Source organism: Homo sapiens, chromosome 22 (assembly GCF_000001405.40).
Source record: "Homo sapiens chromosome 22, GRCh38.p14 Primary Assembly".
In the NCBI taxonomy this organism is placed as follows: domain Eukaryota; kingdom Metazoa; phylum Chordata; class Mammalia; order Primates; family Hominidae; genus Homo; species Homo sapiens.
This window is the reverse complement of record NC_000022.11, coordinates 35,312,984-35,333,099: the sequence shown is the minus strand read 5'-3', so window position 1 is coordinate 35,333,099 and position 20,116 is coordinate 35,312,984. Positions and strand designations below refer to the sequence as shown.

The 20,116-nt window shown below is 53.0% G+C and overlaps 1 protein-coding gene across 12 annotated transcripts in view, besides 8 other annotated features; it reads right to left on the bottom strand.

The window, feature by feature from the left end:
* Window positions 1-20,116, bottom strand: part of TOM1 (target of myb1 membrane trafficking protein) — a 48,699-nt gene that overhangs the window by 14,874 nt on the left and 13,709 nt on the right. For 3 of the 12 annotated variants that reach the window (NM_001135729.2, NM_001135732.2, NM_005488.3), the window contains exons 2-9: window positions 15,139-15,223; window positions 11,063-11,141; window positions 9,923-10,072; window positions 9,470-9,604; window positions 9,186-9,332; window positions 5,713-5,829; window positions 2,620-2,753; window positions 86-119 (exon numbers count right to left, since the gene is read on the bottom strand). In NM_001135729.2, the coding sequence (NP_001129201.1) occupies window positions 86-119; window positions 2,620-2,753; window positions 5,713-5,829; window positions 9,186-9,332; window positions 9,470-9,604; window positions 9,923-10,072; window positions 11,063-11,141; window positions 15,139-15,176 (834 nt within the window). In that variant the 5' untranslated portion in view covers window positions 15,177-15,223. Of the gene's footprint in view, window positions 1-85; window positions 120-2,619; window positions 2,754-5,712; window positions 5,830-9,185; window positions 9,333-9,469; window positions 9,605-9,922; window positions 10,102-11,062; window positions 11,142-11,252; window positions 11,359-15,138; window positions 15,224-20,116 lie in introns of those variants that run through there. The other 9 variants (XM_047441068.1, XM_047441069.1, NR_156428.2 and 6 more) reach the window with 7 other exon arrangements.
* Window positions 2,240-2,740: an enhancer, noted in NCBI's record as "H3K4me1 hESC enhancer chr22:35726353-35726853 (GRCh37/hg19 assembly coordinates)". NCBI's record gives its function as "activates a minimal SCP1, AML or CMV promoter by ChIP-STARR-seq in primed H9 embryonic stem cells {active_cell/tissue: H9 hESC(primed)}" and the evidence as "EXISTENCE:reporter gene assay evidence [ECO:0000049][PMID:30033119]".
* Window positions 4,230-4,524: an enhancer, noted in NCBI's record as "tiled region #10159; HepG2 Activating DNase matched - State 5:Enh". NCBI's record gives its function as "activates a minimal TATA promoter and a strong SV40 promoter by Sharpr-MPRA in HepG2 cells {active_cell/tissue: HepG2}" and the evidence as "EXISTENCE:reporter gene assay evidence [ECO:0000049][PMID:27701403]".
* Window positions 8,971-10,170: an enhancer, noted in NCBI's record as "CDK7 strongly-dependent group 2 enhancer chr22:35718923-35720122 (GRCh37/hg19 assembly coordinates)". NCBI's record gives its function as "activates an origin of replication core promoter dependent on BRD2, BRD4, P300/CBP, MED14 and CDK7 cofactors, with strong dependence on CDK7, by STARR-seq in HCT116 cells {active_cell/tissue: HCT116}" and the evidence as "EXISTENCE:reporter gene assay evidence [ECO:0000049][PMID:35650434]".
* Window positions 13,504-14,004: an enhancer, noted in NCBI's record as "H3K27ac hESC enhancer chr22:35715089-35715589 (GRCh37/hg19 assembly coordinates)". NCBI's record gives its function as "activates a minimal SCP1, AML or CMV promoter by ChIP-STARR-seq in primed H9 embryonic stem cells {active_cell/tissue: H9 hESC(primed)}" and the evidence as "EXISTENCE:reporter gene assay evidence [ECO:0000049][PMID:30033119]".
* Window positions 14,005-14,505: an enhancer, noted in NCBI's record as "H3K27ac hESC enhancer chr22:35714588-35715088 (GRCh37/hg19 assembly coordinates)". NCBI's record gives its function as "activates a minimal SCP1, AML or CMV promoter by ChIP-STARR-seq in primed H9 embryonic stem cells {active_cell/tissue: H9 hESC(primed)}" and the evidence as "EXISTENCE:reporter gene assay evidence [ECO:0000049][PMID:30033119]".
* Window positions 14,541-15,040: an enhancer, noted in NCBI's record as "H3K4me1 hESC enhancer chr22:35714053-35714552 (GRCh37/hg19 assembly coordinates)". NCBI's record gives its function as "activates a minimal SCP1, AML or CMV promoter by ChIP-STARR-seq in primed H9 embryonic stem cells {active_cell/tissue: H9 hESC(primed)}" and the evidence as "EXISTENCE:reporter gene assay evidence [ECO:0000049][PMID:30033119]".
* Window positions 15,041-15,542: an enhancer, noted in NCBI's record as "H3K4me1 hESC enhancer chr22:35713551-35714052 (GRCh37/hg19 assembly coordinates)". NCBI's record gives its function as "activates a minimal SCP1, AML or CMV promoter by ChIP-STARR-seq in primed H9 embryonic stem cells {active_cell/tissue: H9 hESC(primed)}" and the evidence as "EXISTENCE:reporter gene assay evidence [ECO:0000049][PMID:30033119]".
* Window positions 19,150-19,249: an enhancer, noted in NCBI's record as "active region_18899". NCBI's record gives its function as "activates an Ori minimal core promoter by ATAC-STARR-seq in GM12878 lymphoblastoid cells {active_cell/tissue: GM12878}" and the evidence as "EXISTENCE:reporter gene assay evidence [ECO:0000049][PMID:35858748]".

Below are 20,116 nucleotides of genomic sequence, written 5' to 3'. Positions count from 1 at the left end.
AGTTTACTAGGGGAGGGAGGTGAGAATGGCACTCCTTCTTCCCATGAACAGGGCCTGATCTAGTCACAGAAAAGAAGACTTTTACCTTGGTGGTCTGGCCTGTTCGGAACCGTTCAAACCTACAAGACAGAAAAGACACGAGTTATGGAGACAGACTGAGACAGGCCCCCACACACGGCCAGGCAGAGCTTTTCAAACTGTGGGTCTCAACATCAACACGGTGGGTTATGATCAGGGTGATGACACGTCTGGTGTGCCCTGGACAGATCCAGTTCATGCCTGCTGTCCCTGGGTAACTAGCAGTGCTCCTCTTTCCCTTGCAAAAGTGTCCCAATTTGGATGATCAATTATAAGGCAACCTTAGTCATGAGTAGCATGAAACAAATAAACAGGAATAGGTTAGAACAGCAAAGAAAATAGGAATGCATGGCACGCAGTAAAGGTAAGGACTGTCTTATGAAACTTGTTTCAATTACATATTTGTGTGTGTGTATGTGTGTGTGTGTGTGTGTGTTAGTGCTCTCTTCAGTGCTGTAAGAAAGATACATGTATCTCTAATCTTGTTTTATGGAGCTACTTAGGGGCCGGTGTGATAGATCGAGAAGACTTTAGTGTGGGGTCTGTTCAAGTCGTGGCCTTGTCACTTATCACATGACCTCGGGTAAATTATGTTCCTTCTGAACTTTAGTCTGCTTGTCTAGTATCTGTAGGCACCTGCCTCCCTGAAGTGCTGAAGCCCAAATTAGGACATGGGTATAAGTGACTGCGAGCTTGAAAGCACAGTCAGATATTAAGCCTAATGACTGTGGATATCTGAGGGTACCAGCTGCTACCAGATGGGGCCCCTCAGTCACCTCACAGCCCATACCCCAAAATGGCAGGGAAGAGGCCTTTCATTCCACTGGGCCAACGAGCAGGAGAAGCTAGGCAGACGTGACCTGCAGGGTACCCCCCACTTTCCACTGATTTAGAATCAATCAGTGAGTGTCTTTTGATGGAGAAAGACACAAAAAATGAACAAGGGGCTGGAGGAGGCTGGAATAACTCATGTCAGTTATCAGACACCCTGGACTGCTAAGCGCTTTACAGACACTGTTTCATGGACTCTCACTTATGCCACAAGCCTCATTTTACAGATACAGAGGAGGTGTGATGGGCACACAATTTCTGCAGACCCAGCAATCCTTCTCCTTCTCTTTCCTTTTTTTTTTTGAGATGGAGTCTTGCTCTGTCGCCTAGGCTGGAGTGCAGTGGTGCGATCTCGGCTCATTGCAACCTCTGCCTCCTGGGTTCAAGCAATTCTCCTGCCTCAGCCTCCCAAGTAAGCTGGGATTACAGGCACCCACCACCACCTCCGGCTAATTTTTTTGTATTTTTTAGTAGAGACGGGGTTTCACCATGTTGGCCTGGCTGGTTGCAAACTCCTGGCCTCAAGTGATCCTCCCGGCTCAGCCTCCCAAAGTGCTAGGATTACAGGTGTGAGCCACTGCGCCCAGCCCTTCTCCTTCTTTTGTAATAGCACCTAAGTACTCTTTAGAGGAACTGCTCCTCCCCCATTTCACATCATCCCGGTGGGGCTGCCATCAAAGGGCCCTCTCCCATACCCCAGCTGGTAGGCACAATGAAGCTCAGCCAATCCAAGTCTCTCTTGGGGATGTGACTCTTGAACAGAATGATACAAGGTGGGCAGGTGGGTGTGGTGGCTCATGCCTGTAATACCAATGCTTTCGGAGGCCAAGGAGGGAGGACTGCTTGAGGCCAAGAGTTTGAGACTAGCCTGGGCAACACAGTGAGACCCCTGTCTCTGCAAAAAGAAAAAAAAAAAAAGAAAAGAAAATTAGCTGGGTGTGGTGGTGCATGCCTGTAGTCCCGGCTACCTGGCAGGCTGAGGTGGGAGGACTGCTTGAGCCCAGGAGGTTGAGGCTGCAGTGAGCTGTGATCATGCCACTATACTCCAGCCTGGGTGACAGAGCAAGATCGTGCCTCAAAAAAAAAAAAAAAAAAAAGGTGGACAGGTGTTTGTGGACAAGTGTTTGAGCTGATGTATTTATTGATGGCAGCACCCTGGGGAGATGGTCCAGGAATTTCTGCTCCTGAGACATCTGAGCTGCCCTGGGATCCATCTTTCTTGTTCTGTTGGGAGACATCAGTTTCACTTTTCTCTGGATTCTGAAAGCTACCCATTTAATAAAGATTATTATCCTAACAAATTCTTTTTCTGCCTAAGTTAGCCAGAAATGTTTTGTGTAGCTTGCAGCAGTGAAGTCACTTGTCTAAGGCCCCAGAACCAGGAAGTGGTGGAGTGGGCGAGGACACACCAGGCCAGTCTGGTTGCAGGGCCGTGCTCTCAGCTGTGACCTGTGACCATCTCCCAGGGCTGGACTTGGGCACAGGCAGCAGCGCTAACCCTGGAAAGGAGATACAGGGCGGCTGGAAGGAGGGGCCCTCATAAACATCCTGGAAGAAGACAGCTGAGGGCACAGGCCCTTAGGAGCCTGCCTTGTGTTTGAGAGGAGGACGAGAGAAGGCTCAGATGGCATGAGACCAGGAGAACAGGGAGGAAGGGAAGGGAGAGGGTTGGGGCAGTAGGCCAGAGGCCAGGGGAGGTGCTGGGGCTACCGTTCATGGCGCAGGAACACATTGTTGAGATTGTCATTGACGATGAGCAGCTCCTCTGTCAGCTGCTCATTGGCGATCTGAGGGATGAGCTCCAGGACCCGCTGCTGCATGGCTCGGCACGTGCGGTTGAGCTCCTGCCAGGAAAGGAAGTGAGGCAACCACAGTCACATGACTCAGAGTGAGGCCGTCTCTTTTTTTTTTTGTGAGACGGAGCTCTGTCGCCCAGGCTGGAGTGCAGTGGTGCGATCTTGGCTCACTGCAAGCTGTGTCCTGGGTTCATGCCATTCTCCTGCCTCAGCCTCCCAAGTAGCTGGGACTACAGGCGTCTGCCACCACGCCTGGCTAATTTTTTTTTTTGTAGTTTTAGTAGAGACGGGGTTTCGCCATATTAGCCAGGGTGGTCTCGATCTCCTGACCTCACGATCTGCCTGCCTCGGCCTCCCAAAGTGCTGGGATTACAGGCGTGAGCCACCGCGCCTGGCCAAGTGAGGCCATCTCTAATGCACGGGCCTCCAGCCCCTGCACAAGCCTTGGAGGAGGGTGAGGTGCCCAAACTGGACTTCAAGGTTCCACGGAACAGCTTTTTGGGTTCTACAAACATGAACTTGAACTTCACTTCCAAGTGTTAGATGCTAAAATTTAATCCACAGGAAACCATCAACATGTCCAACTGTGCTGCCGGTTTAACTTGGCTTCGTGCAGATTCCAGAATAAAGGTTGTGCCACCATCTTTGCTTAGTCAAAAAAAAACTGAGTCTGCAAAGGGGGCTGGCTGAACAAACCACAACTTCTGGGGGTATGCTGTGATTTTTGCAACCAAAGCATACAGAATGAACTAGATGACTGCAACCATTAGCCACAAACCTCGATTTCGAGTTTTTGCCTCACTTTTCTCACTGCCTGATTTTTTGTCTTTTTAAACAAACTTTTAGCTTTGGAATAATTTTAGATTTACAGAAGAGATGCAAAGATAGTACCACAAGTTCCCATATACCCTTGACCCTGGCTTCCCCTTAGTCTGGCATTTGTCAAAACTGGTAAACTACCATTAAACATTAAAACTGGTAAAATACTATTAACTAAACTGCGGACTTTATTCAGGTTTCACTAGTTTTTCCTCTAATGTCCTTTGTTTGTTCTAGGATCCTACACTGCATTTAGTTATCACGTCACCGACTTTTAACCACTAGGTGTCATATTTAAACTTATGAAAAATAAAAAAAATGGCTACACCCGGTGGCTCGTGCCTATAATCCCAGCACTTGGGGAGGCCGAGGCGGGTGGATCACCTGAGGTCAGGAGTTCAAGACCAGCCTGGCCAACAAGGTGAAACCCTGTGTCTACTAATAATACAAAAATTAGCCGGGCATGGTGGTGTATGCCTATAATCCCAGCTGCTTGGAAGGCTGAGGCAGGAGAATAGCTTGAACCCAAGAGGCAGAGGCTGCGGTGAGCCGAGATCGCGCCACTGCACTCCAGCCTGGGTGACAGAGCAAGACTCCGTCTCAAAAAAAATAAAAAAATAAAAAACCATAGCCATATGGGTTTTCATTTTTAAGATTGGTCAATTATTTCTTCAGGTACCTGCCACCAGGTGAAGGTTCCTGGGTCACGGCAGGTGCCTGGGTCCTGAGGTCCAGGGAGCTGCCCGGCATTGCCGACTGTGGCCTCACGCCAGCACGCCTTTCTCCTGGAGGCAACGCTGAGGCTCGGCACTGCCCAGTGTTTATTTTGGCTGTCATGTGGACCCTGTCCCCTGCCCCCTCCAAGGTCAGGCCTCCGGGATTTCCTCATCGCCCTTAGCACGGGGACAGGGCGGGTGCCTTTCAACATCCTGTGGGCTCCCCTCCTGCTCTTATGACCAAGCACACGGTGGCTTTGCTTCTGCTTCCCTGCTGGCCCCTCTCAAGAGCAGAAGAGCAGCACTTGGAGCCAGGCCCCCGGGTTCAAATCGCAGCTCTGCTACTTACCAGCCATATAACCCTGGACGTGTTATCTGATCTCCCTATGCCTATTTCCTGACCTGGAAAATGGGGGTGGTCAGGATTACGTGAGCGATGTGAACCAAGTGTCCACATATAGCCCGGGACACGGGAAGTGCCCAGTGCATGGGAGCTGTCCCTGCATCCACCTTGCTCAGCCTTCTGAGTCCCCAGACTGCTCACATCTCATGGCCTTGGCTTGGGGCGTGCGAGGCTGCCTGCGCAGTCTTCTCTCTTTCGGAGCCCTTACTGGGTTTCAAGTTTGTGTATTCACTGGACTCTGAGGCTACTCCTTTTCTCCCCACCCTGCACCACCAAGTGAGGACCCCTGCAGAGTCAGCTCGGTCAGGCACACAGACACGGTGGCGAGGAAGACACAGCGCTGCCCTCAAGGAGCCTGAGGCCTGGTGGACGAGCAGTAGGAACTCGAACAGTTACACGAAGCGCTCTGTCTCCTCATGGATTCTGGTGACTCCTGGGCCTTGGGGATTCCTAGCTCTCTTGGTGCCTCTATGACTGGCCTCCATGGGGAGGGTGCTTTTTGCCAAATTCAGTGTCCCTTCTGCTCCAGTGACCCCCAATCTGGGCTGGGGCCGTGGGAATACCATGTGACACCCGGGAGCAGGAACCACTAGCTCCACCTGCCTTGGCTCCCCAAGATCAGTGGCTGGCGCATCTCAAGGCTGGCACCACCCTCTCACACCTGCCTGCTGAGTCTCGGATTCTGAATGGTGTAAATCTCACCTTCCAGCTTTTTCTCAGGACCCCTTACTGGGTGCTTTACTCTGTACCAGGCACAAGCCTGCGTGTTTTTCATGCAATACCTTATTTAACTCACATCAAACTTGTGCCATGAAGGCTATTGTTAGAGCAATCTTACAGATGAGGAAACTGAGGCCAGGGGGGCTACTTTGTTCAAACCAGAAAGTGGTAGAGCTGCGATCTGATTCCAATCTGATGGCGTCCAAAGTCCCTGGTGGTAACATGTCCCCAACTGTGACCAAGGAGTATGGAGTAAGCCATGAAGACTGTCATGAGGATTGGGAAAGAATGCATGTGGGCAGCTGGGCAGGAGTCATCTGAGCCCCAGGGGGTGGTGCCACCTGCTCACCTGCAGCAGCTCCAGGTCTGCGGGCTCGGCCTGGGTGGGCACCAGCTCCGTCAGCATCTCCGACATCACCCTCACGTTCCCACTCACCATCTCCAGCTCACTGCGCAGCTTCCCAATCTGAAACACACAGTTGATCGTGGTGAGAGAAGCCAGGGTTCTGGGGCCCATGTTACTCACAGCGACAGAACCCAGTACCACCAACCCTGGGTGCAGCACCAGGGAGCCGACCTCCCAGCAGCCTCTCTAGGCAGCCTCCCTCCTGGCTCCCAAAGTGACAGCTCTGCACTAGAGGCCTGCCCCACCCCTTCTACAGACCCCTCACAGAGGCGCTACCAACCGTTACCATCTCCACACCGGAATGAGCCACCACGTGTGGCTGGAAGACTCCAGCATCTCCTGGGTCTAACACAGCAGCTAACAAGGCCCTGGAGGGTGGCTCCCCACAAGGCGGGGAGGGACGCTGCAGGCCCTCTCTCTCTCTCCCACTAGAGGACTGGGATTCTGCCCTCTCTCTCTCCTCCTAGAGGACTGGGATTCCGCCCTCTCTCCTAGAAGACTGGGATCCCCCCCTCTCTCTCCTCCTAGAGGACTGGGATCCCACCCTCTCTCCTCCTAGAGGACTGGGATCCCGCCGTCTCTCTCCTCCTAGAGGACTGGGATCCCGCCCTCTCTCCTCCTAGAGGACTGGGATTCCGTCCTCTCTCTCTCCTCCTAGAGGACTGGGATTCCACCCTCTCTCTCCTCCTAGTGGACTGGGCTTCTGCCCTCTTTCTCCTCCTAGTGGACTGGGATTTTGTCCTGTTTCTGGTCTATTTTGGTGTCCCAGGCTCATCTAAGGATAGTCCTTGCCCTGTACCCCACCTTGAATATGAAACTCAGATTTAGCACTTGTTCCAAGGGATGTGGGCAGGTTTTCAATGGTCAAAGGGTTCCAAGGAGTTGGGCTTGGGGAAACATTTTCAATAAAGCTGCAGTCTCCTCAAAGAGGTTAGCTTGTGAAAGGCCATTGGTATAAGGATCTTATGCTGTGGGACCTTGTAGGGTGTTTAATGCCCTCATGCACACTGGGAATGCCTGGGAAAAGATCAGTCTGAAAGCTTCTAAGATTTATTTGACTGAAGAACCTTTTTATGTTTTGAGAAATGCTGGTACATTCTAAATCATGTGGCTGAGTTATAGTTGATTTCAGAGTGTCACTATATACATTCATGATTGTGACAGCAGCTACCATTTATAGACTACCTAATAAGTGCCAAGCATTGAACATATATTGCTAACTTAATTTTTTACCATGGTAGACATCAATATCCCTGCTTTTATAGATGAAGAAATGGAGTGTAGAGACTAGTAGTATATCCACTATGGTTCACTGACACCTTCCAAAACCTGCAAAATGTTTGATCTATTTGGCTTACTTAATGAACACTCTTGGTATGAGTGAGTGGAAAAACTACTGATCACAAACCCCATGTATCCAAATCAGATGGGACTTAATTACAGAGGAGTCTGGGAGTAACATCACTGCACACCTGATGTCTTAACATGTCCCAAGAGACAAAAGGGGACTCTCGAATTAAACAAAGATTAGTTTTGTTTAGCAAGCACCTTCTTGCATTGGAAGTAATTAGCGTCTTAATCCACACAGATGCTAGACTTCAGAAAATTGGTTAAAATCATAACTGAGTTAGACAATCACAAGGTGGTTTTACAATTTTTTACACACCTTTAACCCACTCAGAAAAAAAAAGTGCAGCTCGCTGTCAGCACTCATTTAATTTTACATAAACATGCTCTTTGAGGCTGAAGTAAACCTGACTGATTTTCAACATGAAAATAAAACATAAAAACTGTTCTTGGAGTTATTTCTAAACAGAACTTGTCTCCAATCCTAACGTAACAGAAATGTATATGAGGTTACATTAGGATTAGAGACAAGAGTATTCTTGGGGCAAACGGGCAGTGCGTTAATAATTTTGTCCAGTTAGCAAAATTTTCTAGTAATATCTGTAACTCTGAGGGGTGATTTCATAACTTGCTATGAGAAAACAAATCATGGAAGTTTCTCTTCAAATAGGTTAGGGTGAGAATGAGTTCAAATGATACAAAAAGTGGGCAGTGGGGACGCTTATTGGGAAAGTTAAGCTTCACTTTTCTTTCCATCACACATCCGTGTCTAACTCACCAGCACACTCAGCAGCTCCACCTTTACGCTCCGCGGATGTGATGGGCCTGATGTGTGTACAACACCTTTAACGTGGGTGTCTCCACAGTGTGCAGGCCTCTGCCCCCACCCCAGCAGCCAAAAGTCTAGAATGACAAGCCCCCAGCTCTACGAGCTGGTCATGGCTGTAGAAGTCACTCAGCAGATACAGCAGCCATGGCACTCCACAAGCAGCTCATGGCCCAGTGGGCCATGAGGAGGAAGGAAGTGACATGCCCAGGGTGCCACCTGCTCTGAGGTGGGTAATCCTTCAAAGCTAGTCAGAGGGCTGGGAAAACCTGTCCCCTAGAATCTCATACTAAGCCTCAAACCTTCTTGGCTGGGTGTGGTGGCTCATGCCTGTAATCCCAGCACTTTAGGAGGCCAAGACGAGTAGATCACTTGAGCTCAGGAGTTCGAGACTAGCCTGGCCAACATGATGAAACTCCATCTCTACTAAAAATACAAAAAATTAGCTGGGCATGGTGGCTCATGCCTGTAGTCCCAGCTACTCAGGAGGCTGAGGCAGGAGAATTGCTTGAACCTGGGAGAGAGAGGTTGCAGTGAGCCTAGATGGTGCCACTGCACTCCAGCCTGGGTGACAGAGCAAGACTGTTTCAGAACAAACAAAAAAGCTTCAGACCTTCTTGAGACTTCATGGGAAGCAGCATGGTACAATGTACATATGTTTTTTATTTTTTGCACAGATGTTTGAAAACTTTTCAGGCAGAACCTCTCTTCAAATGAAGCCTTTTTTTTTTTTTTTTTTTTTTTTGAAACAGGTCTCTCTATGTTGCCCAGCCTGGTCTCAAACTCCTGGGCTCAAGCCATCCTCCTGCCTGAACCTTTGAGAAGCTAAGATCACAGACGCACGTGACCATGCCCAGCTCAAATGAAAGCTGTGAGTGTGTAAGAAACCACACAGGTGGAGCTGGCCTGAAGGGGCTGCGTACAGGACACCTCTCCATGGTGCTGTTGGAGGGCCCCGCAGAAAACACAGGTTGGAAAATGGCCAAGGTACAGGGCAGTGCCTGCCAGGAGTCAGACAGACGTGAGCTTGGATCCCAACTGTCTCTGATGACTGTGTGCTCTGGGCAAGTGAATGGACCTCTCTGAGTCTCATCGCTCAAACAGGAAGAACCACACATACCCTGTGGGCTGCTGTGAGGAAGAAGTGGAGGCTCCGTGGATGGTAAATTCTGACAGGGGGCCCTCCCTGACGTGTGTGGCCCACCTGCCTGGACCTGACGGTTCTGACCCCAGGCTCGTTTACCTGTTCCGGGGTTGGTGCTATGGGCGTGTCACCGGAGAGTATGGGCGGGGCGGGCAGAGGGGCAGCATGCTGGCCAGAGTCCTCTTGCTGGCTGGAGTCAGTGCCCACAGAATCCTGTCCTGATTGTGTCTCTGAGTTGAACACGGTCTAGTGGGAGGAAAACAGGATCAGTGAGGGCTCCTGGGAACATCAAGAGCCCAGGAAGTCAGGGGCCAGCCTGGTGATGTCTCTGGGGATGAGTCCTGCCTCCCTTCCCTTGGTTCCCGGTACGGCAGTTCTCTCACCCTCTGGGGTGTGTGGATGGGTGACAGCATGTCCAGGTCAGTCATGGGGAACTCCAGGCCTTTCCTCCGCAGGTCCTCATAGATGGTGACCACACCTGTCAGATCGGGCGAGCTGCGGAACGCGTCAGCCCAGGACTGAGAGGGGACAAGGGGACACAGCCGGTAACCACAGCTCACCTGTGAGCCTGCCCACCTGGCACTCAGACAGAGAACAGACATTCTTTCCCTGCTTTTTTTTTTTTTTTAACTACATCTGCCCTGCCCACTCCACAGCAAAGCACGCAGTTGGCAAGCCTCCCTCCCCACAGAACATCCCACCAGCCGACAACCGAGACGCCCCGAAATGAGAAGCGGAGCCTGGGACAAACACGATGGCCTCGACTCTCCACTGGGCAGGAAGCTCCTGCACTGACAGCTCTTCCTGGCCGTGCCCTGCCCTGTCCTGGCACTCACCTGGATGAGGTTGAGCACTTTGTCATGCACGATGGTGGGTGGGTTGTTCTTGGGCAGGATGGTCCTCACCAGCACACTCTCCACGAAGTCCTGGCTGGCCACCAGCACGTGGAAGCGGTGCCCGCAGTTCTTGACACAGGTTTCTAAGACCTGGAGGGCCGAGAGGTGCCGTCGAGCACCTTGGTCAGAGGAGAGGAGGTGCTCAGAACCCCCACCCTCGTGGCTCCTCCTGTGTCCCAGAGAGGAGGCCCGGGAGAGGAGATGGGACTTCCTGGAGTGAGACCCTTGAATGTGGAGGACTGGGACAATGCCAGGACTGGGGGACTTGTTTACTGGAGGGCACGGCCTAGGGTGGGCAGAGGTATGGTGTGTGGGCTGGACTTCCTTCCCTGACTGGCGTCAGTGCACGCAGAATCCCAATGCTGTCTCTGAGCTAAACATGGTCTAGAGAGAAGGGGCTCTCCAAGAGGAAATCAAGGAGCATCTGAGATGTCAATCGACTGGTGAGCCTGTGGCCCAGGGAAAAGGCACTGAACTTCCCTCCCCACTCTCCACTTCCCACTGCAGGAATTGCCTTTGCTTTTTGCTTAAGCCAATTCACCTGGATATAAATGCTGCTTGTGGAGGAGGGTGGGACAGCATTTATATCTTCCCCAGCCAAACCCATGCTGACGGCTAGGAGGCCCACGTGTGTCTGGCCGCCCTGAGATCTGGGCTGGTTCAGTGGTGTGGGCAAGACTGTTCTCAGCCACTGGTATTTATTTTACATTCATTTGCCAGAGCACCAAAGTGCCGAGCAGCACCCAACTCAGTCAGCCGGCCTCCCTGCCCCCGCGGAGGCCTGGGTTTACTGAGCTTCAATGTCACCCACAGGTCCTTTGGCCCAGGCTCTCCCTGCCAGTGGTTCTGGAGTGATGTAAGCGTCTGTTCCCATGCTGGGGGATTGGGGAGAACCTTTCCAAATGGCCTCTTGCCATTCTGCATCCGCCTGCAGTGTAGACAGGACAGTGCGTTGCCTACAGACCTTTCCAGCTCTCAAATGAGGAGCTCAGAGGAGGCTGGGAGTCCTGCTGGGTCTGAGGGGAGGTGACTTTCAGTGGACCGTAGTCCTGCCACAGGACAGACAGATGGGGCACTCACTGTGAGAGCCAGCATCACCTCGTGGAAGTTCTTATTCCCCACGATTCTCTTCTTTACTGCTCGGAGGGCATCTTTGGGACTAAGGAGGACAAGAAAAAGGGTGGGCTTAGGAATAGAGCCCCCTTACCTAACACCAGAGACCCTGGAGAGTTGGAACAGTTCTTATTGGCCCATCCTCCCTGTGCCCCACCTGTTTTGTGTATCCAGCCAGGTTCTGATCACATCAGAATCTTCCTAGCCCATTGCTTAGCAGGGACTCACAACCTGTGGCCCCTGGACCTCCAGCAGCAGAGTCACTTTGAGAAAAGATGAGAGCGTTTTGTTAAAAGTGCAGAACCTGGCCGGGCGCGGTGGCTCATGCCTGTAATCCCAGGACTTTGGGAGGCTGAGGCAGGTGGATCACTTGAGGCCAGGAGTTCAAGACCAGCCTGGCCAACATGGTGAAACCCTGTCTCTACTAAAAATACAAAAATTTGCCGGGCGTGGTGGTATGACCCTGTAATCCCAGCTACTTGGGAGGTTGAGGCGGGAGAATCGCTTGAACCCAGGAGGCAGAGGTTGCAGTGAGCCGAGATTACGCCACTGTACTCCAGCCTGGGCAACAGAGTGAGAGCCGAGATTGCGCCACTGTACTCCAGCCTGGGCGACAGAGTGAGACCCTGTCTCAAAAAAACAAAGGACATTCAAAAAAAAAAAGCAGAACCCTAGGTCCCCACCCTAGACCACCTGAACCAAATTCTCAGGGAGTGGGGCCCCTGAATCTGAATGCTTCTCATGCTCCCCAAGGGTTTCTTATGCATGCTCAAGTTTAAGAACAAATAACCTGGAGGCATAATGTTTTCATTACAAAAATAGAGATGGGGTCTTGCTATGTTGCCCAGGCTGGTCTCAAACTCCTGGGCTCAAATGATTCTCCCACCTCGGCCTCCCAATATGTTGTGATTACAGGCATGAGTCCCTGAGCCCAGCTAGCATAGTGTTCTGATGCCCCGTCCTGGCCAGCTGCTCTATCTGTCCATTTACCCTTCCATTCAAGTTTTTTTTTTTTTTCCTTCTGAGACAGAGTCTCACTCTGTCGCCCAGGCTGGAGTGCAGTGGTGCAATCACAGCTCGCTGTAGCCCGGAACTCCTGGGCTCAAGTGATCCTCCTGCCTCAGCCTCCCAAAACGCTGAGACTACCAGTGTGAGCCACCATGTCTGGCCCATTCAACTCTTATTAAGCACCCAATATGTATGTAGCACCATGCTAGGTGCTGGGGACACAGTGGCAAACAAGACCATATGGCCCTGCCTCCTCCCCACCTTGCGGGGAGATCCAAAGAAGAGCAAGGAATAAGCAGGTCCTGGAAAAAGAGCAGAGGTGAGGATGGGGGTGGTCAGAAAAGACCTCCGAGGGGGTGGTCTTGTAGTTGGGCCTTGAAAGATGGGAAGGACCACCTGGGGGGAGTGGGGGCAGAGCAGTTTGGGTCAAGGTCAGAGCCTGGACCAAGGTCTTGGGTGCAGAGGAGCTTGATGCCTTGGAGGAACTAAGAGGAGGCCACACTGAGTGTGGGGGAGGTCGGGGAGGGCTGAAGAAGCCTAGGGGTCACGGTGTTGGGAGGCCCCTGGAAGCTGGGGTGCCAGCCTGCTCTCCCTGTCCCCTCTGTGATTCCCACCATCCTCCACCCTCGGCCCTATACAGGTATACTCAGTGCTGCCCTGACTGCTCTTGTCTAAAAGCCTTTGTGCAGGGCCCCCACTTGCACCCTGAAGGCTCCTGACCTCCACATCCATGAGGTGAAGCCTCAGCTAAAATCCACCCCTTCCACAACACTTTCCCAGGTCCTCCAGTCTCCCTGGCCTGTTCTGCCATGCCACATTGAACTGGGGGCCCACCCTGGGTAGAGAAGAAGCTTGCTAGAGGGCAGGGATGGTGTTCTCTTTGGACAGCTTCCCTTCCTAGAGCCCATCACACTACTGAAGCACAAGTAACATTTCTCAGCCTGGCCAGTGGCCACTGGGACCCATCCGGCTGTCTGCCTGGCTGTCAGTGCTGACCCCATCCAGGACTAAGGCAGGAGAGCCTGGAACCCTGGCACTGGTTCTCAGCAGGAGTGAAGGCAGAGGCAAGGCTTCCTAGGGACAGAGCCTGCCTGGGGGCTAGAGCTATGGAGGCGGTCAGGCCTGCGGTGGAAGGGACACGGTGGGGAAAGGGATGGTGGCCCACCAAGGGGGGTCCTGGCCCAGAAGCCTGAGAGCAGTTTCCAACCCTTGCCTCCCTGGGCAGCCCCTCGCCCGTCCCTGGCTCCTGGTCTTGGCCTGGCCACTGACCCACGGGCTACTTCAGCGCTTTATAGTGACTTCTTTCCACCTCTTCTAGGGTGGCCTAGACACAAGGGAATCAGAATCATTCCCTGGCATGTTCCGCCATGCGCCACTGACCTGGGGGCCCACCCTGGGAGAGAAGAAGCCTCCTAGAGCGCAGGGACAGCGTCCTTGTTGGACGCCTTCTCTCCCTAGAGGGAAGCACTGGGAATCGGAAGTTCTGGCCTTGCCACTGCTGTGGGCCCATGATGTCCGGTACTCTGCTGGGAGCACAAAGTGTATGACAAGGAGGCCACAACCCAGTGGGGGAGACACTTTAGCAACGAGGCTAAGTTTAGGTGCCATGCTTGGTGAGGTCAAGGGTCATGCCTGCCTTTGATCACTGCTGGGTCCCTAGTGCCTCCTGTGTTGCCTGGAACACACAAAGTGCTCAAATAAATAGCAATGCACCTGACCGACGCCGAGCCTGTTCCTCCCATGTTTATAAGGGACATGGGGGCTTGCTGTCCCCAAGGATACTGCAGTGACTTGCAGCTGCGACGTCCATGAAGCTCCCAGGCCTGTCTAGAGGCTTGGTGAGGTTTTCTGCCTCCTGCTTTCTTTCTTCTGACCTCTGCCCACCACTCCTTCCCTCACCCTCACTCTCATGAGTCCTTGGCAAGATCAGGGAGCAGGGCTGAGGAAGACACCGGCAGGTTCCTGGCAGCCACTGCCCTCTCCTGACTGGGCCTTGACTGTGTGACTCAGATGCCCACAGCCTCCCTCCAGCTCAGAGCTGGGCACTCCCTGCCCTCCACCTGCATCCAGCCTGCGCCTCTCCACGCAAAGCCCTCCCGGGCTGAGAGGAACCCTGCACTGGCCGCGGGAGAGCTGGATGATCCCAGTGAGAACTGGAGAGGGAAAGGAGGGTCCACACTGATTTCTCAGGATGGAGGCCTCGTCTGGCAGCACTTCCTGCTGCCCACGGCTCCCACACCTCTGCCCAGCCTTCGCTGGGTTTTCCTGAGAGGACAGGGACCCTCGCATCCCCTTTCTGCTCCCTCCAGGGACTCGGGCTTATTGCTGGAAGGATCTAACAGAGCACCTTCGAGGACAAAGACCTAGAGAGGTAAAGTGACTTCCGAAGGTCACACGGCTGGTCAGTGACAACGAGTCAGACATTGGAGGCCAAGACCCCAATCCTTCCCCCACACCATGTGCCTTGGCAGGGCTCCTTGGCACTGAGCAAGACGATACCGTGACCCCAACACCAGAAACGCCCGGCAAACGCCAGTGCTGTTCAGGCTCACGGTTCAGCTTCACTTTCCCTGCCATCCTTGTGATCTCCCTTACCCTCCAGGCTGGTTTCAAATCTTAAGGAAATGGAAGTCTGTTTTTGCTCGCAGAAAAGCCGGAGTCTCTCTAGTACACACTCCCGCCTGCAGAATGCAGATGGCGCTTGGGGTCAACTTCTGATTAAGAGTCTCCAGCTTGCCTCATCCTAGGCAGATGCTGCACACAAGGCTGGGCTTCCAGATCCGTGTGGAATCTGGGCTGCCACTAAGAGAGGCGGGGTGGGGTGGCAGCCCCCAGGGGCCAGCTGTGAATTCCTACCTTGGATGGGGCTCAGGTACTAGGGGCTCAGATGGCCTCTGCAGCCAAGCGGGTTGGGTCAGACTTGGTGGCTATGGCAGCAATGGGGCTGGGGCAGGGGCTCCCTGGAAGGGTGCAGGAGTGTGCTGCGTGGTGGGATGGCCGTCTCTGCCCCCAACCTCTCCTTGGGGGGCCCTTACCCTTCCTCCGTCTCGTTGATGATGTCGCAGATCTCCATGTTGAGGGCCCAGTCCTCGCTCTGCAGGGAGCCATCTGTGGCTTTCTCTGAGAAGAAACCAGGAGTCATAAAGTCATGAGGGGGTCCTGAATGGGTAAACTCAAACCGTGGGTGGGAGAGGAGGGGGGTGCAGGGCCGGATGAGATGGGGAGGAGGAAGATGACAGACACTTCCTGGGCACAGGGCCTGGCCCTGTGTGAGACTGCTCTATACACATTGTCCCATCGTCACTAGATTCTTGTAGCCACTGAGGCCGGAGTACCTCTGCTCTTCAATGGATGAGGAAACCATGACTCTGAGTGCACCAAAGGGATGCACCAGAGGGGAATCTAGGTGGGCCTCCGTGTGCTTATTCCTGACATGACAATATGGAGACAGTGCTTTGCTTCATTTCTGTAGATAAGATGTTCTCCCTTGACTTTAGAATTATCTTTTGAGCTGGGCGCGGTGGCTCACGCCTGTAATCCCAGCACTTTGGGAGGCTGAGGTGGGTGGATCACCTGAGGTCAGGAGTTGAGACCAGCCTGACCAACATGGTGAAGCCCCGTCTTTACTAACTACAAAAAAGTAGCTGGGCATGGTGGCACATGCCTGTAATCCTGGCTACTTGGGAGGCTGAGGCAGGAGAATCGTTTGATCCCAGGAGGCGGAGGTTGCAAAGAGATTGAGCCATCACACTCCAGCCTGGACAACGAGAGCGAAACTCCATCTCCAAAACAAACAAACAAACAAGCAAAAAAGAATTATCTTTTGAGTTGGTAACCATTCACAGGATACAAAATGTAAAAGTTCTCAAGTGGTATACAATGGAGCTAGGTAAATCTATCTCTGTCCCCTGCCCCAGCCCCCTCTTCCTAGAGGCATCCCCTGTAACCAGGTTCCTCTAGAATCTCACAGAGAGCTTCTTTACCTAGGAAGCAAACGCTCCATTACTAACAGGTCACCTGGCCCTCCTGTACCCTTCTGAGGCACCCACAGAAGGGACCGATGCCGAGCCACCCAGCAGAACTACCCCAAAGAGAGGTGATGATTCATGCAAGGTACCAGCACAGTAAGGTATCAGCACGGCAAGGTATCAGCACGGTACGGGCCCAAAATAAACACTCAGCAAGTGGTGGTGGTTCTTTTTAAAAAAAGTTGAGGCGAAAGTCACATAAAATAAAACTAACCATTTTACCATGTATAATTCAGTGGCATTTGGTACACCTGTAATACTGAATACAACCACCACCACCTCTATTCAGTTCCACGAAATTTTCACTTTGTGGCAGTTCCTAGGGTAAGATTTCCAGGCCGGGAGTCGGCTGCAGAGTTCTGGAAGCCTGTCAGGGCCATGGCCGGGACCACTGGCTGCAGGTCTGCATGGTAGCAAGCACCGGGCTTGGCAGCCTTTTGTGAACTGTAGTGTGGGAGGCACTAATTGGTATTACATGAATGATGAACGCAGGAACTCGCAATGCCAGCACCTTTGTAAACGGTCTTTAGGAAAGGGAGGTGCCGCATGGCCTGTTTTCTGTTCTCTGCGCCTTCCTAGATGCTATCTTCACGCGTCAACCACGTGCACACAGGAAATTTTGTGCCCTGTTTCTTGCAGGTAACGTTCCATTACACACATCACTCTGGCTGGTATGTATTGTGACTACATGGAGGACTGTGTGATAAGACAGGCTTTGCTCCGCCTTTTAAGGGTGAGACCCTGTTCTGACACAGGGCACTACCCAAGGTTCCCTCCCCTGCAAGTGTCACATGCAAAGTACTCATCCGCCTGCTGCAGCCACCCTGCCGGCCTTGGCACACCTGCTGGCTGATGGGCCAGGCACTTGAGCACAGTGCTGCCGGCTGTCTATTATCTGTCAGGAGTGTGTGCCAGAGTAGGCATGTAGAACTTGTTATTCCACGTGATGTCACGCTGTCCTGCAAGGGAGGCTCTCTCCTCACGGCTGTGCCCCGGCTCGGGGAGGGTGGGTGACTCTTCGCTTGCTACACGGCTATTTGTAAGCCAAGCCGGTTCCAGGCACTGGGATACCATGGTGGACTCGGTGGGCATGGTCCCTGCTTTAAGGTGCCCAAAAGAAGCCACAGTGCCTGCTAAACCCAGTCTGCCGGAGGACAGAGGAGGGCAGTTTCTGCGGGACTGGACAGGGCCCTCTTCTAGCCAGGCTGGCTCAACCAACACTAAAACTGTGGCTCTGAGACCTTGGTTTTGCAATTGGCCCAACTTCAGTTCTACCCTCAGGTCCTGAGCCAGACGGATGCCAGGGTGGCCCAGGACACATGCCAGGCGGCTGAGGCAGAGGGCGGTTGCTTTACCCCTAGATCAGGCCTGGAGGAGGGGATGAGGAAAGCTCCTCTGACAGGGCTGAGAGACAGAGTTGTCCATCCTGTGAAGGTTTACTGAGTGTGGCTTCTTTGTACCACACCCCTGCCCTTGGGGGTTCCACACTTATAGAGCCACCTGGGAAGAACAGAGCGGGCCAAACAAGTGTCCCTCTGAGCAGAGGGCCGTGCCCTGCTTTGGAGGGTTTTGGGGCGGGGGTTAGTCATGTCAGTCAGTGTTAACCTACAGAACCTGCTCCTCTGCCACAGGCCACATCTCAGCAAGCCCCAGTCACACAGGCCAGAGGATTAGTGTCATCTCCCTCCCTAGCCACACCTAAAGGCCACGAAGTCCTGCCAAGTCAGCTCCCAAATCTCTGTCCATCACACCATCCCCTCTGCCACTGCCCCTGCCCCAGCCCGGCCACCATCCTCCCGCTAGACTACCGCCTCAGCTTCTTCCCTCCTCCTGCCTCCCTCCTCCCACCCATTCTCCACACTGTCCAGAAGGAACTTTCTGAAACCTGAAAATGACAGTGTCCTTCCTGCCCAAATCCTTCCGTGTCTCCCTAGTCTTCGACCTGGCCTGCATGCCCTTCCACAATAATAATATTTTAACTTCCCAAGTTATATGCCATAGAATATCAAGCAGCATTAGCTGTTCACATGAAGAATGAGATTTAATTTTAACACACTGTAAGGTGTGCATTATTGCCCTCATCTCATGAGGAAACTGAAGCACAGAGAGATCACCAACTTGCAAAGGGCACACAGAGGTAAGGGCGGGGCAGCCGCTGACGCTGTGGCGCAGGTGCCTGAGGCTTCTGTGCCATCCGCATCTCTCAGCAGGGGCGGGGAACACTGTTTTCCCAGAAGTGTCCTTCCTGACCACACAGGGAGTTGGCCCTCTCCTCCCTGAGCTCCACCGGCAGGCCTCTCAGTGGTCCCCACCATCAGATCCTCTTCTGTCCCCAGTACCCCCTGAAAACGATGGGCACCTCTCATCTCCTGGAGGAGGGAACATCAGTGTTTCAGGAGAGGCTGTGGTTGTTTTGGAAAGGCAAGTAAGTGGCTTTTAAAGGGAAGCGGGGACATTGATAAATAAGAGAAATCCCATACCCGGCAATCAGGTGGGAGCAGAAGGACCCCCCGCCCCCACCCCGTGCATGAGTCTGATGTGACCCAAGCAGTGCAGGCAAGCTCCTGAGCCATGAGTGGCAGCAGGCAGTAGTGGGCAGAGCCAATCAGAAGACGGAGGTTTTCTGCGGGGTGGGAGGGGATATGTGGCCTAAACGAGAAAGGGGAGAGGAAGAGGAGGAGGAGACAAAATCGGGACAAGGCAGATCTGAGCAATTCCAGTACAAGACAGCTGTTGGGAGGCTGTGGGACATCTGCCCAGACCATCACTTGCCAACCCCTTCTAGGTTCCTCCAGGTTCCTCCAGGTCCAGGTGTGGACAACAGGATTGCGGTGAATCATGTGGATTTCCTTCAGATGCCCACAGGGTAGGCATATTCCATCAGGGCAGAATTTTAAACCCACAGGAACCTGGCAATATTTGCTTTGTTTTTGTTCTTCACCACAGAAGTAATTCAGCTTGCTATTTTAAGAAGGGGGAATAAAAACACGGACAGTGGTTGCCAGTTACCAAGAGAATGACAACTGATTCCCCGACCTCGGAGCTGTAACCTTCAAGGGCCTCCGGGTAGCAGCTGTGCTCTTGTCTTCCAGCTCCTGACAGAACCGGGCCCTGCAATCCTCCACCTGTCATCAGGCGGCTTTGCAGTTGTTTATGGCTGGCAAGCCTGTGGCTTCGGATCACTGGGCACCTGTGCGTCCTTACAGCAGTCTGTCCTCTCCCTATTGGGTCTGGTGCAGATACCACCTCCCTGGAGGGCTCCAGATAATCTGCCTGGCATGATGGCAAGACCCACCTGCCCCTCATGGAGATGAGGGTGGAGTGGGACGAGTCTGGCCTGACCTAACTCATAGAATGTGGGCAAAGATCCAGCCCCTCTGAGTCTCTGTTTTTGCACCCGTAAAATCAGGATAAGACTGCCTGCCTCACAGGATGTTGTGACCTTGCAGCCAGACAATGTCAGTATGACATCAGGAAAGGCTAGCAATGAGTAACCGAGCTACAATGACTATGACTTGGGCCAAGAGAAAGAATGAGTAGTCACCAAAGACACGCCACACCACGGGCAGGATCAGAGATGGGGGCCATGGTATGGTATCACCCCTTTCTTTCTTTTTTTTTTTTGAGACAGTCTCGTTCTGTCACCCAGGTTGGAGTACAGTGGCACGATCTTGGCTCACTGCAACCTCTGCCTCCCGGGTTTAAGCGATTCTCCTGCCTCAGCCTCCCGAGTAGCTGGGATTACAGGTACCTGCCAACACACCTGGCTAAGTTTTGTATTTTTAGTAGAGATGGGGCTTCACCATGTTGGTCAGGCTGGTCTCGAACTCCTGACCTCAAGTGATCCACCCGCCTTGGCCTCCCAAAGTGCTGGGATTACAGGTGTGAGCCACTGCCCACTGTGTCCGGCCAGTATCACCCCTTTCCACACCAGCCTTCTGGGAAGCAGCCTGGAGCCCGCTCGCTCCCATCCTGCACATTCCAA